Genomic DNA, 16796 nt, shown 5'->3' with positions numbered 1-16796 from the left:
GGGCCGACTCAGCCGGAGGGGCTGCCGCCGGGTCCGCGCTGAGCACCCCGCACCCATCTTGCTGCCCAGGCTGCGGCGGGCACTCACCGATCTGCGCCAGGCTCAGCGGCACGAGGCAGAGTCCCCAGGCTGCGTGCCACCAAAACTTGTCCATGGTGTCCGGAGCGAACGGAGGGCGCGGGCGAAAGGAGCTGGAGGATCCCTGGGCGCGGGGCAGGGGCCGGCGGAGGACGGGACGAGGATGGCGGACCGAACCTGGCAGAGGCTGGGGTCCGCTGGGCAATGAGGCTGCCTCGGAAGTTGGCTGCAGTTTTTATTCGAGGTTGAAAACAGTGACCTAAGACGGAGGGAGGGAGCGAGCGAAGGACACACCCAAGCAAGGGGGGCTGTGACTAAGCAGCCCGCAGAGGTTTTAAGAAGTAGCAGCCCTCCCGGGCGGGCCCCTCTGCCCCCGCCCCGTGCTCTGCTGAGGCTGTAAATAATCGGGGCTGCCAGGGACGTGGGTCGGGGAACCTGGAGTGTCGCGGGGTGCCTGTGCCTCCGAGCCCCACTGGCCCCTGCGCCCAGAGACGCACTGGCTTTCTTCTCCCGCTGGCCCCGCGGCGTCAGGACAGAGGATGACCGAACCGTAAAACCTTGCACCATTGGGTTCAGCCTTTGGCCTCTCCTTTCCCGCTAAATTTCTCTGAATCCGGCTGGAGCAAGATCTCTGGGTTTCACAGGATGTTGGATATCCTGGGAGAGGAGCTGGAGAGAGGGCGAGGTCTTGCCCTGGGTGGCGCAGTGCCTCCGTGCCCACAGTGGGGAGTGAGGGGTGGGGAGTTGGTGAATCTTCCAAGTGGAAAGAGGGAGAGCTCATTCTTTTTCCCCTCAATAACAAGTCCACATGGCTTGAATGAATTTTAGCTTCTTGGCAGAACAGCTCAGGGAAAGCTACTGATGGCCTGTCATAGGGCTGGCATTTGGCTCAGCTAACCCATGTGTTCAAGCCAGTGTGAATGGGCACCTCTCTCCACACACATGCTCATTCATCCTCCTAAATATCCTTCCATCCGCCCATCCATCTATCCACCCATCTTTCCTTATGTCCTTCTGGGGCTCTCACATCCATCCATCCTCCTGTCCATCCACTAACCACTTAGGTCCATCTATCATCCCACTCATTCATTCATCCAACCACACACCTTTTAATTTATTCAACCACCTATTCTTCTATTCATCTTCCCATACAACTTCTCATCCATCATTCCACACTTCCTTTTTCACATCTCTTCATAAAACCACAACCATCCACCATCCTCTTCTCCACCCATCCACCCACATATCTGTTTATTGATATATCCACTCATTTCCCATCTGTCCAAGATCAACATATCCACCTATCATTTTATCCATTCTCTCATCCACCCATACGTTCATCTATTATTTTTGCCCCCATTATCCTCCTTTCTGTGTAAACATTAATTCATTTTCTCCCATCTTTCCTACCCAGCAGATCTTAAAGAGAGGAAGAGTTTGTAATATTCTTCAGGGGAAGCCTTTTGAGATTGAAATATCATACTTTGAATGATAACTCTATATCTATCTATAATATACTATGGTTTAATGTTTGGAAATCAAACGCAGTATTTATTTGTCATGTGAACTACTAAAAGTAAATCTGCATGGACTTCTTGCCTGGTGAGTTACACAGAAAATGAAAGTGATTATCAGTGGCTGTGGCAAGATGAAAGGAACCATGCCAGGACTTCTGAGGGAAGGTAAGATTTTGTTATTTATTTCAAGAAATTGAAAAGTTGAGAGAAATGCACCCAGCCATCCCCCTATGCATTCATTCATCAGACATGTAATGAGTGTTGTGGGGTATCGAGGTAAATAAGACCTGGCGCTATCTTCAGAGCCCTCACCCTCTGGTACGGAATAAAACTCACAAGCAGGCCATTACCATGCAAGGTGAAATATGCTGCAAAATGTGTGTGTTTGGGGTGCTACCATTCCTAGAGAAGGGAGTCACACTCTCTCCTGGAGAACACCAGGCAGTCTTCACAGGGGAAGTGATATTTGAGGCAGGCCTCAAAGGAAAAGGAGGAGGAATTCTTCAGATGAAACTACAGGGACAAGTAAGTCATCCACAGGCAGTACAGTGTAGTGACGAACAGCATGGATTCAGGAGCTAGAACACCTAGATCCAAACCCTATTATGGCTGCTTCTTAGTTGTGTGACCTTGCCTAAGGCAATTAGCTCAATTTGCTCAAGTATAAAATGGGCTTAATAATAGTATCTATTATTACTATTACAATTCTATTACTTCATAGAATTGGTGAGGATTAAATGACTCAAAAGCCCTGCATGTATTAAGCCGTAGATTTATGTCTACATATGCATGCAGTAAGCACTTTAAATAAGTGTTTGCTATCATTACTAAAAGCAAAATTGTGTTTGAGCATAGAAAAGTGAAAGAACATGGCTTGTCCAGAGAATAGAGAGCAATGTGAGCTGATCTGAACATAGATCAGATGAAGGGGCTGGGGGAAGATAGCAGACATGAGGTTACAGGTATGGGGACTACAAGGTGTAAGCTATGCCAGGGAGTTTGAACTTGACCCTGTAGGAAATAAGGAGGCAACGTACTTAGTTAAAATTATTATCATTGTTATGTTAAAATATGCATAACATAAAATTTACCATTTCACCCATTTAAAAGTGTTTATAGCAGTGACGTGTAGTACTTTAACAATATTGTGCAACCACTACCACTGTCTAGTCCGGTATAAATTTTTCAGTTGTGGAGATTCTGTTTGACTAAAGACTACTCCTCTTGCATTTTCAGGAAGAGTGTTTGGGACTGAAAAATCCTTGTCTGGATCTAGTCCTCAGCCACTCAGAAGCTGGCATGCCATGACTCAAAGAGCCGCCCGTCTGGAATGAAGACAGTGACCCGTAACTCCCACCTGAAGAGCAGGTGCTTGGAAAATGCTGCCAGTCCGCAGGAAAAAGTTGTTACTGCTGCTGTCTGTGACCAAGAGGACACTTTATTTCTTGAAACAACTGGGGGCAAACTGGCTCCCAGATAAGGCTTCAGTCCCTACTCATGTGAGGAAACCAGCCCTGGTAGGTTCCATGCACAAGAATACAGGACAAGGAGCAGCTTTTTTCACCTCATGCAACCTCCAGGGATTTCAGCTTCCTTTTCTTGGAGCAAGAAAGTGAAGTGACGTGGGGAGTCACTAGGAACAATGTCTGTCTTACTGTGTTTCATGGAACCTGGAGGTTCCTTAGAGACCCCTCAGAAGCAGACCTAGTGGTCAGAGTAAAAGCTGAGGAGTAAGCTGTGCCTCTCCCTCCCCAGGCCCCATCCCAACCACAGAAGTTCCACTTGCATCAGTTTTATATACCAGACTATTGCATGAAATTACATTTTGACAGATGATTATTCTTAAAAAATATATAAAAACCAACAAACTAGGCCATATCAAGTCCTGGTCCCTTCTCCATTAGTGCAGTAAACAATTCCACCAAGGAAAATATAGGTGTGAAAGTGCTTTGCAAACTGTAGAAGGGCATGCAAATTCTAGGGGCTGTAATTAGGATTATTCTCCCCAGAAGCGGGGATTATTTTGTTTGCTTGCTTCCCGATAGTTTGGTGAGGGACTGAGGTCATTTGCCCCCATACCACAAATGACTCATTTCAAATAACAGACCTGGTGACTTACTGAGTCAAGGTCCACCTTTGGGAATTCCTGGATCACCTCTTTGAGCTCCCCTCTCATCCACTTTCCATTCTAAAGACACCCTGCCCACACCACTGGTCACACAAACCCTTCCCAAACTCTTAGATGCTTGATATCTGTTGTGTGTTGCACCATCTTTCTTTCTAAGCCAAACCATGGGATGTGGGAAACTGGAAAGGAAACTTGAATTGATTTGAGTTGACACGAGATTACACTATTTGGGAAGAATCCAGAATTCAATCAGCAGCCTTGGACCGAGAAAGTCCAGGTCTGAGCATTGGCTTTCCCCCTTATCAGAGGATGACTTAACCTCTGGGAGTTTCGGTAATCCCAGCCACAAAACAAGGGTAATCAGACCTTTCCCATAGTTTATTATGAGTAGTCAGTGAAAGAAGACATCAAGACCATTTCCTGGTGTGCCTGCCTCATGGTGGGACTCAATGACCTCTAAGCTACCTGAGAACAGGGACATGTCCTTCTGGGGTGCCAGCACATACTCAGCTCTCAGTCCCTAACATATACACTGTGCTCCATAAATAAGCATTACATAAATGTATGAGGGACTGTTATTTTTTTTCCCTCCCATCAAAGCGCATAGGGGTGTTTCAGGAATCACATGAACTGGTGGGAGGAAACACATAGACAACTTGACAGTTTCTAAATAAATGCAAGCAGTGACATCCTATTTGGGGTGACTGGTTCAGGGAGACTTGAGTGCAAACAGAGCATTACTCACTCTGGCAGACTAGGGTTCTTTGCTGAAATATTGGGGACTGATGGCTTCTGACTGGTAGTAATAAATCCTGTTCCTCTCGAGCAAAGAAAAGCCAAATCTAAACCAAATGTGAGCAGGAGTGTGAAATGGAAAGCTGGGAGATCTTGGGCTGAATCATGGAATTCAAGGATTACAAATGCAGCAGGTCACAGACTCTTTTAAAGGGACAATATTTAATTATTTCACGGGACAGCTTCCCAGAAAAGGAATGATCTGGCACAGTAAAGAAAAAATGACATTCCAGTTAAACCTTAACTCTTAAAAAAATTCATCCTTAGTTCATATTCACAGTGTGAATTCTACACATATAAATGAGCAGTGGTGAAAAAAGCTCTTGCGAAATAATTATTAGTAAAGTCTAAATAAACCAGTAGCTGGGAAGCAATCTTCATGAAAAATAAATAACCTCTAAGGATTAGTCTCAAGCTAACCAAATGTGATTATAGAGCTGAGCCTTTAGGATTAATAAGGCTTTCAAATTATGGTAAATAAAGAAATTGGTGTGGCTGCTGCACCCTGGAAGTCCCAAGGGGAGAGATGCAACTGGATTTTTTAGATAGATCCATGTTAGCCACAAAATGGGTTTTACGCAGACCTTTGGAGGTTAAAATAGTATGCAGATAGGACAATTCCTAGACTTGGATGATAACAAACTTAGAAATGTGAATTTTTGACGATGAAATTTGAATTAATGGTATGTGGCTTTATGTAGCAAGCTAACTGGAAGGAACACAAGCAAAACAGTCTATATTTTATGCACTATTACTTAAGGGAATGTAATTATATTTATTTTTAATTATATTTATTTTATGTTCATGTAGTAACTAAAATTCATATTTATTCCTCTTCTCTCCACTTCATACAAAGTGGTTAAACATCTATTGGAAGGCTTTAGGAATCTGTTTTGATGAACATTTAAGCATGATTTGTTTTGGACATATCCATGGTTGGTATGTAAATGGTAACTAAGAGCCTTGTAATTATCTAAAAATTGCTTGTTCTCTGCACTCATTTACTATGTGACTACTATGTGCTGAGAACAATTTATACATTCTTGGTTCTGTCATAATTAATCATCACCACTCCTTCACTGCCACTATTGCCATCATCACCACTACCACCTCCACCATCACCACTGCCACTATCATCACCACGATCATCACCACCACCACTACCATTATCCACCATCACCACTAGAGTTATTACTACCATCACTACAACCAACATTATCTTCAACATCATAGCTAATAGCCAGTACTTTCTACATGTCAAGCCTAATGTCATTTAATTGTCACAACAATCCTATGAAAAGTTAATTTCTATTTTACAGATAAGGAAACAAAGTCTTAGAGAGGTTACAAAACTTGTCCAAAGTCACATTTTTATTTCACTTAGCAAATCTTTCCTGGCTTTAAGAGATATGGGGATAGAAAAGTTTAATCCCTTTTTGATTCTTGATGTAGCAAAAATGCTAAATTAATGGAGTCCTAATTCATCAGTCTTTACTAAATTTTATTCTGAATCATGGAAATCAGTTTCTTTTAAGAAGGAAGATTTCCTTTGGAAGCTTTTGTTGGAGTGGAGGAGGTGAAAAGAGTATTGCTAAGGTAGAGAATGGAGAATGTTGACTCTCACAGCCCTCTGACAAATTAGAATCCTAGAATAAGACAACTTTAAATGTGTAGACTCGGACCGTGGCTATTCAATGGACAATTTTAGATTTGCATAGGACTATGCCTTGATTCCTTAGAGTATCATTGTGAGATGGTTGTATATTCTGACTAGAAATAACACCATTTTCTCTTTGCAGCACCTGAGAGTTTATTCAGTGACGATAATACTCACAAGACCCTTTTTGGATTTGTGGCCCAACCCACAAGTTATAGTTCCTTCTCTGAATATTTCATCCAGATTGTGAAGAGCAGCTTCTGGCAGCCACAGTTGTACTATGTGACCCCTACTTCCCATGCCCAGGACTGATTCGACCCCGTAGTAGACACCTAAAGCAATCCTGATCAGTCAGAGTCTTTGTTCCTGACATTTGGGATTAGAGCATGGCTGAAGGTTTAAGACACAAACTTGGAAGCTGTGGGGCAGCAATACACCTCCATGAGGACAGAGAAGCAGGGGAAATAAGAATAAACCAGAAGCTCACAGAAACGCAGGAAATACTTCTAGAGTTCTAACACTTTTCGGGTTTCTTGTTCTAGTCCATTCTTGACACACTTGTGCCTCACAGAAGCCAATGGCAAGAATGCAGTCAGATCCTTCCAATAAATTCCTTTTATTCTGTTTACATTAGCATAAGCTGGTTTCCGTTGCAACCAAAAAGACTTGATGAATATAGGAGAGCATCACACCATTTTACAAAAGAGTAAACAGTGGCTCAAGTGGATGGCGGATGCCCCTACCACTGGGTCTTGAATTCAGGACTTTGACTCTAAATCTTAGGTCTTCTGATTCTGAGGTCTGTGCTCTTTTCACCAGTTGGCCTCACCTATAATCCCTCCCCACATCATCCCATTCTACCCAAAGAATACAGTTCTCTCTCCTTCGTTGTGATAGAAACTAGACATCTCTGATACTTTGCCTACAGTTGTATGTCAATCCAAATGAGTGGCAGGTCTTCCGAGTCCCATCCTCCCAGATCTTCTCCAGAGAGCCCCTGTCTGCCTGAACATGCCTCACAGTCTATTTTCAAAGGGCAAAACCTTTCATCTGGCAGATGGTAACAGCTGCTTCTCTTTAAAACACCCAAAGGGTAGAAATTCTGGGCTCTAACGTACAGGCATAAGGCTCCTGCCAAGTCCTGACTGGGCTTAGCATCAAATCCTGTAGAAAAGGAATAGGTACAGAACATGGATGTGAGGCCAGGCCAAAACGCATTTTATTGCTGGCTACTGTTTCCCAGCCACAGAAGAATGCTGCTGTAGAAGGCATGGCGTGGGTGAGAAAGAGACTTGTTGAACTGAACTTTAATGGGAGAGGATGTGGGGAGGGTGGGCTAGGGAGAGAGAAAGGAAGAGACGTCTTGAGAGAGCTTATGAAGGTGAAAGAAGGCAAAAGACACAGATGTGACTCCATGATGAAGCAATGGAAAATAAAAGTCTTTTAATCATCCAATGGGAATTTAATGGACACCTTCTGTATGCACTACATGGATTCGCCACAGAGGACAAGCCACAGATGAGGAGGACCTGCCCTCTCTCTTCAGAGACTATGATCTAGATCAGAGTTGGCAGATCAGTTGCCTTCATTAGTTTAAGAACTATTTTGTATGCACCTCTATATTCCAGGCACTACTCTAAATTCCAAAAATACAACAGCACAAAAAGACAGACTGGCATTTTATTATCATCGAGGAAGTGGGTGGAGGGTGCAGGCAATTTTAATAAGGTAGACTAGGAAGGTCTGGGTGAAGAGGTAACATTTCAGGCAAATTTACATGAAAAAAAAAGTGCAAAGCAAATGTAAAGGCTTTGAGATTGGAGTATTTTTAGTGTGTTTGAGGAACCAAAAAGGTTAATGTGGATGGAGCAGAGTGAATGAGAAAGCAAGTAGTAGGAAATGAGATTGAAGAGGAAGGTAAAGCCAGCTCTTGTGCACCCTTGCAGGCCCCAGTAAGAAGTTTGGATTTTATGCCGAGTGGAATGGAATGACTTTAGTGGGTTTCCCCTAATTTTCACCTCTAATCAATTAATAATGACTGCTTAGTTCACTGTGATGAGAAAGATTCTGAGGCTTTACAGTTCAATGGATAAAAGTCCATTGATGGATTAATAATATACATCATGTCTGTAGCATGAGGCAGTGGTAACACTGATGATTAATATTTGACATCTCTGATCATGATGGAAGATTAAATTGTATTTGTCAAAGTACTCTGAGTTGTGCTGCAGTAACAACATAAGCAAAGTCTCATTGGTTTCACACAATCACCCAGGTGACTTCTTGCCATGCTAAGTTGGCTGTGGGTTCAGGAAACTCTCTAAAACAACTGTCTTCCATGCAGTTGCTCACTGATCTTGTGCTACCTCTGTCTCGTAACACAATTGCTGCAGCAGGGAAAAAGAATAGTAGAAGGCCTCATGCCAGTGATTAAATGCTTTGTCTCAGAAATAATAGATGTCACTTCTTTTCCCAGCCCATTAGCTAGAGTTAGTCACATGATCCCACCTAAGTGCAAGATGACTGGGGAAGGGTAATCCTTCCATTTGCCTAAAGGTAGATAAGAACCCAATGTGAGTAAGCAGTAAAAATCTAGCATATAAATCGACCTTAGAACAAGTCCAGTAATACTCTAAGGAAGCTTGTAATGCACTGGGTAAGGAGTAGTAAATAATAAAGAAATTCAGAGGCCAGGTGTGGTGGCTTATGCCTGTAATCTCAGCACTTTGGCAGGTTGAGGCAGGCAGATCATGAGGTCAGGAGATGGAGACCATCCTGGCTAACACGGTGAAACCCCGTCTCTACTAAAAATACAAAAAAAATTAGCTGGGCATGGTGGTGGGTGCCTGTAGTCCCAGCTACTCAGGAGGCTGAGGTAGGAGAATGGTGTAAACCCAGGAGGCGGAGCTTGCAGTGAGCAGAGATAGCACCACTGCACTCCAGCCTGGGCAACAGTGCAAGACTCTGACTCAAAAAAAAAAAGAGAAAAAAAGAAATTCAGAGTGGTGATACCAACATGTGTAGCTCAAAAAGTCTCTATAGAGAGGAAGGGTACTCGGGCCAGATCTTGATGGATGAGCAGCGTCCTGTTACTCAATCCTCACCATCTGATGCCCAATAAACGCCCCACTTTCCCTGGCTCAATCCCATCCACTATTCTGCAAGTCACTTTAACTGACTCTTTAGTCTTATTATTTTGGATGTAAGATGATATGCTGTTGAAGAGCATTGTTTATTTGCTGTGGAATTTTGGGCACTGTACTCAACCTCTTTGAGCTTAAGATCCCCATTTAATGCTTGATATAATTATCATGAAAATTAAAGTATATAATGTAATCATGCATCTATTCAACTTATCGAAGAGTTTAGAATATGGCAGGGTCTAAAAAACAGTCATTGTTATTATTGACTCACCCTTCCTTAAAATTATATTTTCCCTTGTCTTTATAGATACAGCTATAGCCTATCTTTCATTCTGCCTTTCAGATTAATTTATCTTTCTGTGTTTTGGGTCCAATTTCAGCTACGAGGTAAAACGGCTTAAACACATACACATTTATCCTGTGGTTACCTAATACTTGTAAGGGTTTCTGGTTAGATAGGATGGTGAAGAGGGATAAACAATTCAGGCTGATAGAGACTCTCCAATTTTCTTTTTTTTTTCTTTTTTTTCTTTTTTTTTTTGAGACGGAGTCTGAGTCTGGCTCTGTCGCCCAGGCTGGAGTGCAGTGGTACAATCTCGGCTCACTGCAAGCTCCGCCTCCCAGGTTCATGCCATTCTCCTGCCTCAGCCTCCTGAGTAGCTGGGACTACAGGCACCTGACACTACGCCGGGCTAATTTTTTGTATTTTTAGTACAGACGGGGTTTCACCGTGTTAGCCAGGATGGTCTCGATCTCCTGACCTCGTGATCCGCCCGCCTCGGCCTCCCAAAGTGCTGCAATACAGGCGTGAGCCACCGTGCCCGGCCAAACTCTGCAATTTTCAATACATGACTTCCGAGTTCACTGAGGTCACTTCCATTCAGTTGGTGGAAGGAAAAAGAGTATGGAGGAGAATTGTTTGTGAGGTTTTTATGGGCTAGACCTGATAGTGGGACCCTCACTTCCATCCACATTCCATTGGCCAGAACCCAGTCGCGTTGCCTCACCTAACTGCAAGGAAAGCTGGAAAGGTTATGTGGTCCAGTTGTGAGTCCAGAGGAAAGAGAAGAACGTGGAGTTCAGGAAGCTGTTGTCTTTGCTACACTTCTCTCTCCATCCCTTGCTCCTCCTCTGAGTCTTTTCCCCTGTTTCTTCTTCTAATGGGGGGTTGTGCATGTTGATGTCTTGGTCTGTACTCATTTCTTCACTTATTTCCTAGGTCCACTGCACCTGTCACACCACAAACAATGATAAAAACGGAGACACCTGGGTGAGCCTCACTCACTGCGCATGCCTCCATCTTCGAAGAGCTCCTGTTCACTGTACTCTGAAATAGACTGTGCAAAACATTAAAACTGACCAAATCAATAAGGTCTTGTTTTCAACATCTCTATGTTTATCTATGAATAGGAAAGGGACTGACGTGAGGTGGGACCATTGGTGATTTTGTTCTGAAATAAGTGAAAGTTTAATGGAAAGATACATATGGCACAAAAGGAAGATAAAATTTTTTTTCTTTTAGAAAAAAAAAGAAAAAAAAACACCTCTTTTTCTTTTCTTTTTGAGTTGGAGTTTCGCTCTTGTTGCCCAGGCTGGAGTGCAATGGCGTGATCTTGGCTCACCGCAACCTCCACCTCCTGGGTTCAAGCGATTTTCCTGCCTCAGCCTCCTGAGTAGCTGAGATTACAGACATGCACCACCACGCCTGGCTAATTTTTTGTATTTTTAGTAGAGACAGGGTTTCTCCATTTTGGTCAGGCTGGTCTCAAACTCCCAACCTCAGGAGATCTGCCAGCCTCGGCTTCCCGAAGTGCTGGGATTACAGGCATGAGCAACCGCGTCCGGCCAAAAACAACCTTTAATTATGGAAAATTTCAATCATAAATACATACAGGTAAAGAGAAAATTATAATGAATTTCCACACAGCCATTACCCAGCTTCTACAATTATCCACTCATAGCCCTTGTTATCTGTCTGTACCTCCTACCTCCTCCCCAACTGCTGGATTATTTTGAAACAAATTCCAAACATCATATACACTTATCTGTAAATATTCAGTATGTATCTCTAAAAGATAAGGGCTTTTAAACCCTTATTTAACCACAATACTATTATTACATTATTGGTAATTTTAAACTCTTTCTACTAGTGGCTTTGTACATGTATTATAAAAATATGTATATTACTTTTGAATTGAGCAATATTATTTTAAAAACATTAAGATTCAGTAAACATCACACACACACACACACACACACACACACACATGTTGAGTGGCTCTGAGATCACCTCTATGGAAACACCCTTGTCCTGAGGACAGTTTTCAACACATGCTAGGTGGACTCGATACATCTGCATTAGAAGTGAAAAGGAAGCCTCTCATGCTCACACTAGTCCTGTGGGAAATGGGGGCTGGGGATCTGGCCCAATCTTACACCCAGCCCACAGCACAAGCATAGTGAGTGGTCCCAACAGGGGACTCTGAATGACACTGACAAAGACGAGAAAGCAGGAGGCAAGGCACCCTATGGTGTCCTTCAGAGAAGGTCCTTCTGGCCCCTCGTCTGCCAGCCAGCTGATGCCCCAAAGTCTACCATCTGAGCATTTAAAGTCTGATCAGTCCCTTTGCCTTTGGGTCAATGAGTTTAGATGATCTTTCCTCCCCAGGATGTTTGACCCAGGGTCGTAGATGTGGGTGAGGGCATGAGAACTCTGAGCACTCAGAAAAAAAAACAAGGGAAAACCCAGAAACACCCAGCTGGCTTTAGCCCCAGTTATGCCTAAGTCTGACTTTCTCAGAAGTAACCAATGTCCTCTGTCCCAGTCCAGATGGAGCTATACCAATGGTGGTTGCTGGTACTCTCCAAGTCATTGCTTGCCCTTGTTCATGGATGGAAAACTTCCTCCATTCTCACCTAGTGTTGTGGGTCAGGGGACATCCAGCATGGGGGAGTCATGTCTCCACAGACAAACCAACCAACAACAACATTTCCGTTGCTTCGCCCAATGGAGAAGCCGCCCCTCATCCAGTGAACAGTGCCTGCTCCCCAAATCATTGCATTCAACAGGTGCCTCCTGCTTTCTCCAGGATGCAGAAGAATGATGACGATTCTACCAATTTCCCAGATATTTTTAACCTTTCTCAACCTCCCCATCCTTTTTGTCTTCTTTTAATTTCTGTTTTTCTCCCACTTTTTCTCCCCTTCTCTTTTTCTCTGTCCTCCTCACTTTCTCATTTTGCATCCTCTCCTTATTTTCCCTTCATTCCTATCTCTTGCCCTAGTTCCCCTCCCACCAGTCAAATATATGACTGTTTTGGGGAGTTTTTTGGTTTAATTTCACTCTTTCTTCCCCACCTTGGTCTTGCTGCTGCCTGCCACCTCCTCAGACTGGGTTTGTCCCTTTTTCTTCCCCCACCCACAGAGTGTCAGCTCCTAGTGGCCTGATTCAGACCTTTTATATTAGGTTGGTGCAAAAGTAATTGCAGTTTTTGTTTCTGTTCTCATCACACGCAATCTGGAAACTCACTTGCAGAGCAGAGCAGATGCTCAGGGGGCAGCCCTCAGGTCACCTCTCCCTTCCCTCTGGTAAGCAGTGGCAGGCTTCTCTGGTCCCCAGTTGGAGAGGAAGGGAGAATGGCAGGGAGCTGTCCCATGGGATGGACTTGGAGGGCACAGGAAATGCTTTGCTGTCTGGGGCAGAGCCTAGGTCTATGCCTATACCGTGGATGGTTTCAGGAAGCCCCATCTCCAAGGGGAGAGAAGTAGAGAATAATTGAAATGCCACTTATGTCATCAGAGAGGCACTGGGAGAAGGGCTTTCTAAGAACATCTCACTTACTGCTGCGCTGGAGGAATGGCTATTGCCACTTAAAGAATCTGAGGATCAGAGAGGTTAAGCCATTTGCCCACACTCACACAGCCAGGAAGCAGATGGAACCTGGTCTCACACCAAAGCCCTGTTCATTGAATTGCAATGAGGGCCTCTGTAGATGGAGGAAACGGACTAATCAATCATACTACCTTTTTCCGTCTTAACCCTCTGAGAAAGTCACTTACCATCCAGCGCCTTAGCATTTGTTTCTCTCTTCCTGCTCTTTACTCATTTACATCTTATTTCCTCTAGAAAAGTTTTTGCTGTATTGTCTTTCCCTCTGCCCTGTCCTGCCCCATGTGCTTCTCTCTCACGTCTCAGTGGTGTCACCAGCATCTTGGGCAGGCTCCTGAATACCTCAGGACACAAGCTGTCTGGAGACAGAGACAGAGTTTTCCTTTTCTGTGGGATGGTTATAGGAAACGGCACTTATGACTTCAGTGTCTGCTGAAAATTTAAAGAGACTCAGGAGAGAAGAATCTAACCTGGCTGCAGCCTTCTTGAAGGTCAGGCTAATATCTGCGGTTTCGATGAGGCTGAGCCACATTTCAGCAGGGACAAAGCTCTCTGCAAGTGTGCCCATTGACCCTGCTCCCTACCAATGAACTAGCCAGTGTACACACATACACGTGATTCTGCCTGCAGTACCCCCTATGGATATGTTCTTCTTTTCTTGACAAAATAGGGCCTCTGCAATGTTGGAAACAGCTTTAGCAAAAAGAAAAATATTCACCTAGACCCCACTTATTATTAAATGTTGTTATTTTTATTTGTGCATATTTCCTTTCAGTGTTGGATCACAAGTGGGCCTGCTTTTTTTATACTGTTGCCATCTGGGTATACATGCCATTTTCTCCTCAGCTTTGTTTCCTTAGCCTTACATTCTATAGTGCTCATTTTTTTTTCAGCTTTATACTTATTTATTATTTACTGGACAAATTCAAAACTTTATTTTTAAATTTTACTTTAAGTTCTGGGATACATGTAGAGAAAGTGCAAGTTAGTTATGTAGGTACACATGTGCCATGGTGGTTTGCTGCACCTATCAACCTGTCATATAATTTTAAGCCCCACATGCCTTAGATATTTGTCCTGATGCTCCTCCTCCCCTCACCCCCCAGCCCCCAATAGGCCTCGATGCGTGTTGTTCCCCTCCCTGTGTCTAGGTGTTCTCATTTTTCAGCTCCCACTTATGAGTGAGAACATGTTGTGTTTGGTTTTCTCTTCTTGCATTAGTTTGCTGAGGATGATGGCTTTCAGCTTCATCCATGTCCCTGCGAAGGACATGATCTCATTCCTTTTTATGGCTTCATAGTATTCCATGGTGAATATGTACCCCATTTTCTTTATCCAGTCTATCATTAATGGGCATTTGGGTTGGTTCCATGTCTTTGCTATTGTAAATAGTGCTGCAATAAATATACATGTGCATGTGTCTTTATAGTAGAATATAATGCTCATTTTTTAATGTAAATTCTGGAATTATTATTTTAAAATTACGTCTAGCATTCTATTGATTTGATGTAGCATAATTTATTAATATAGTTCCATGCTGGTGTGCATTCAAGTCACTTCCTTGGATTACAGAGATATAAAACATAATGGAAAATTTTACACATATAGCTTTTTGCTTCTGTGGCATTATTCCTTCAGAAAACTGATCAGAAATGGGAATGGTTATAAACAGTTTGATTGCAATATGGAGTTAGTATCTAGAGTGGAGTCGCAGTGGCCAGGTTAAAACCCAGGTTTGGCACTTCTAGCTGTGTGACCTTAGACCAACTATTTAATCTTTCTAAGCCTCAATTTTCTCAAATGTAAAACAAGGCTAATATAATACTTAATTCACAGGGTCATAGTGAGGACTTCATAAAATAATAAAATAAAATAACACATATCCAGCATACTTTAGTTGGTACTAATACTACTGCTGCTGTGACTACTACTAACACTATATTTCTATTATTTTACCTTCAGCTGGCTCAACACCAGTGGCTGAAACCCAGAATGTTTCCTAGAGCCAAATGCAGTCTGATTTGCAATAATCCAACAGGTCAAATTATTTTAGAGTCACTTACGCCACTCACTCATCCCGTCCATCCTAGCTCAGAAACTCTATTCTGAGCTCAGTTCTTATATCATCCCTTTTAAGGATCTTATATCATCCCTTTTTAAAGGCCTCTGTAGAATCCCAGTTTTTTTAAATTTTGGAAACCACATCCCAGCTCTCACCAGGAATATGAAAATATCCCTCACATCCTGCAGAAAATATAGTTACATCGGAGCAACAGACTACTAATAGATGGGATGTGAGGCTTTATCCTCACACCATTATGCATACCTCTATTTTTAGTTTTATTAAAACTTACCAATTTTGATTTCATGGTTTGAGTTAGAGTCTAGGGGTCCAAAGAATAATGCCTTCCACATCCCTTCCTGAGTTCAGAACCAAATAAGAAAAATATTTGGTTCTGAACTCAGGAAGAGTTATGGAAGGAATTATATAGGAATCAGATAGACAGAGATTGGAATCTGAGCTTCATGACCAGAAAAAGCTGAAGAAAAGAATACAGCTTAAATATGTAGCCACAAGGGATTCTCTAATCCTGTCCCCTGAAATGAAGTTGCAGCACACCTCATAAAATTTCTAGCTTTCCTCACTTGCCACAGAGTGGATAGCAGCCCGGAATGGACCCTCACTGCAGATGACATATCTGAGAGGGAAAGGGAGGTGCCAGGTGGAAAATGTCCACTTTATCTCCAAACTCACCATCAACAAAGAGAATTTCCTCCTCCTTTTGTGGGGAGAAGGGAGCAAAGGATGGTTAGAGAGGTTTGCAGCTGAAGTTCCTCAACATGAGAATATCAGGCCAGTGTACAACAGGTTTCTTTTGGGACCCAATATTTGATCTCATGCTGACCTGCTAGATATGATGACAACAGGTTCATTCTCACCATTTGGACCTTTGACGGTTTCTAACAGCCATGGTTAGACACACTCTCTCTCTCTCTCCTGGCTTTCCTCATAACACCTCTGGAACAGTGTTGACCTACTACCCAACATGGGGATGCAGGGATGTGACATTTACGTGCTTGAATCATGTTTTCACACCACTTTCTTGTCACTTTATAATTTCATCCACCATTTAATAGGATTATTTCAGCTGCCAAAAACCCCTAAAAAAATCTCAATTCAAATTGGCTCAATCAGGAAAGAAATGTATTATTTCACACCACAAGAAGTAAGAAAAAAAATAGTGTGTTATTATTGACAACTCTGTGATATTGGACCCAGGTGCTTTCTATTACTCTGTTCTGTCATATATGCCCCTGGCTTCATCCTAAGACTGGTTCCCCTTGTGGTCCTAAGATAGATGCTGCAATTCCTAGCATCCCATCCGGGAACCACATCTTCCAGAAGAAGGGAGACCATTCCACCTCTTTTTAAAGTTTTTTTAAATGAAGAAATCTTTCCTAAAATCCCTTTCACACTGTACTGACCACTGGTAAACCAATCTCTAAGCAAGTAGATAGAACTACCATTATGGGAGTTATGAATACATTGGGTGGATACCCTAACAAAACTGGGGCCCTGACGAAAGGA

The 16796-nt window shown here is 43.0% G+C and overlaps 1 protein-coding gene and 1 long non-coding RNA gene across 45 annotated transcripts in view, besides 3 other annotated features; one reads left to right on the top strand and one right to left on the bottom strand.

Annotated features, from left to right (window-relative positions):
• CD44 (CD44 molecule (IN blood group)) overlaps window positions 1–287 on the bottom strand; it is a 93232-nt gene extending 92945 nt beyond the window's left edge. For all 44 annotated transcript variants that reach the window (NM_001440324.1, XM_011520482.3, XM_005253232.4 and 41 more), the window contains exon 1: window positions 88–287. In NM_001440324.1, the coding sequence (NP_001427253.1) occupies window positions 88–154 (67 nt within the window). In that variant the 5' untranslated portion in view covers window positions 155–287. The remainder of the gene's footprint in view (window positions 1–87) is intronic.
• Window positions 558–1122: an enhancer, noted in NCBI's record as "H3K27ac-H3K4me1 hESC enhancer chr11:35159883-35160447 (GRCh37/hg19 assembly coordinates)". NCBI's record gives its function as "activates a minimal SCP1, AML or CMV promoter by ChIP-STARR-seq in naive H9 embryonic stem cells {active_cell/tissue: H9 hESC(naive)}" and the evidence as "EXISTENCE:reporter gene assay evidence [ECO:0000049][PMID:30033119]".
• Window positions 578–647: a silencer, noted in NCBI's record as "silent region_3255". NCBI's record gives its function as "represses an Ori minimal core promoter by ATAC-STARR-seq in GM12878 lymphoblastoid cells {active_cell/tissue: GM12878}" and the evidence as "EXISTENCE:reporter gene assay evidence [ECO:0000049][PMID:35858748]".
• CD44-DT (CD44 divergent transcript) lies at window positions 1426–6808 on the top strand. The gene is made up of 3 exons (NR_120528.1): window positions 1426–1760; window positions 2832–3112; window positions 6318–6808. It is a non-coding gene; the product is annotated as a CD44 divergent transcript (long non-coding RNA).
• Window positions 12655–12944: an enhancer, noted in NCBI's record as "active region_4617". NCBI's record gives its function as "activates an Ori minimal core promoter by ATAC-STARR-seq in GM12878 lymphoblastoid cells {active_cell/tissue: GM12878}" and the evidence as "EXISTENCE:reporter gene assay evidence [ECO:0000049][PMID:35858748]".

Source organism: Homo sapiens, chromosome 11 (genome assembly GCF_000001405.40).
Source record: "Homo sapiens chromosome 11, GRCh38.p14 Primary Assembly".
Classification (NCBI taxonomy): Eukaryota; Metazoa; Chordata; class Mammalia; order Primates; family Hominidae; genus Homo; species Homo sapiens.
Note: the sequence above shows the minus strand (reverse complement) of the source record. Positions and strands in the feature narration are given on the sequence as shown.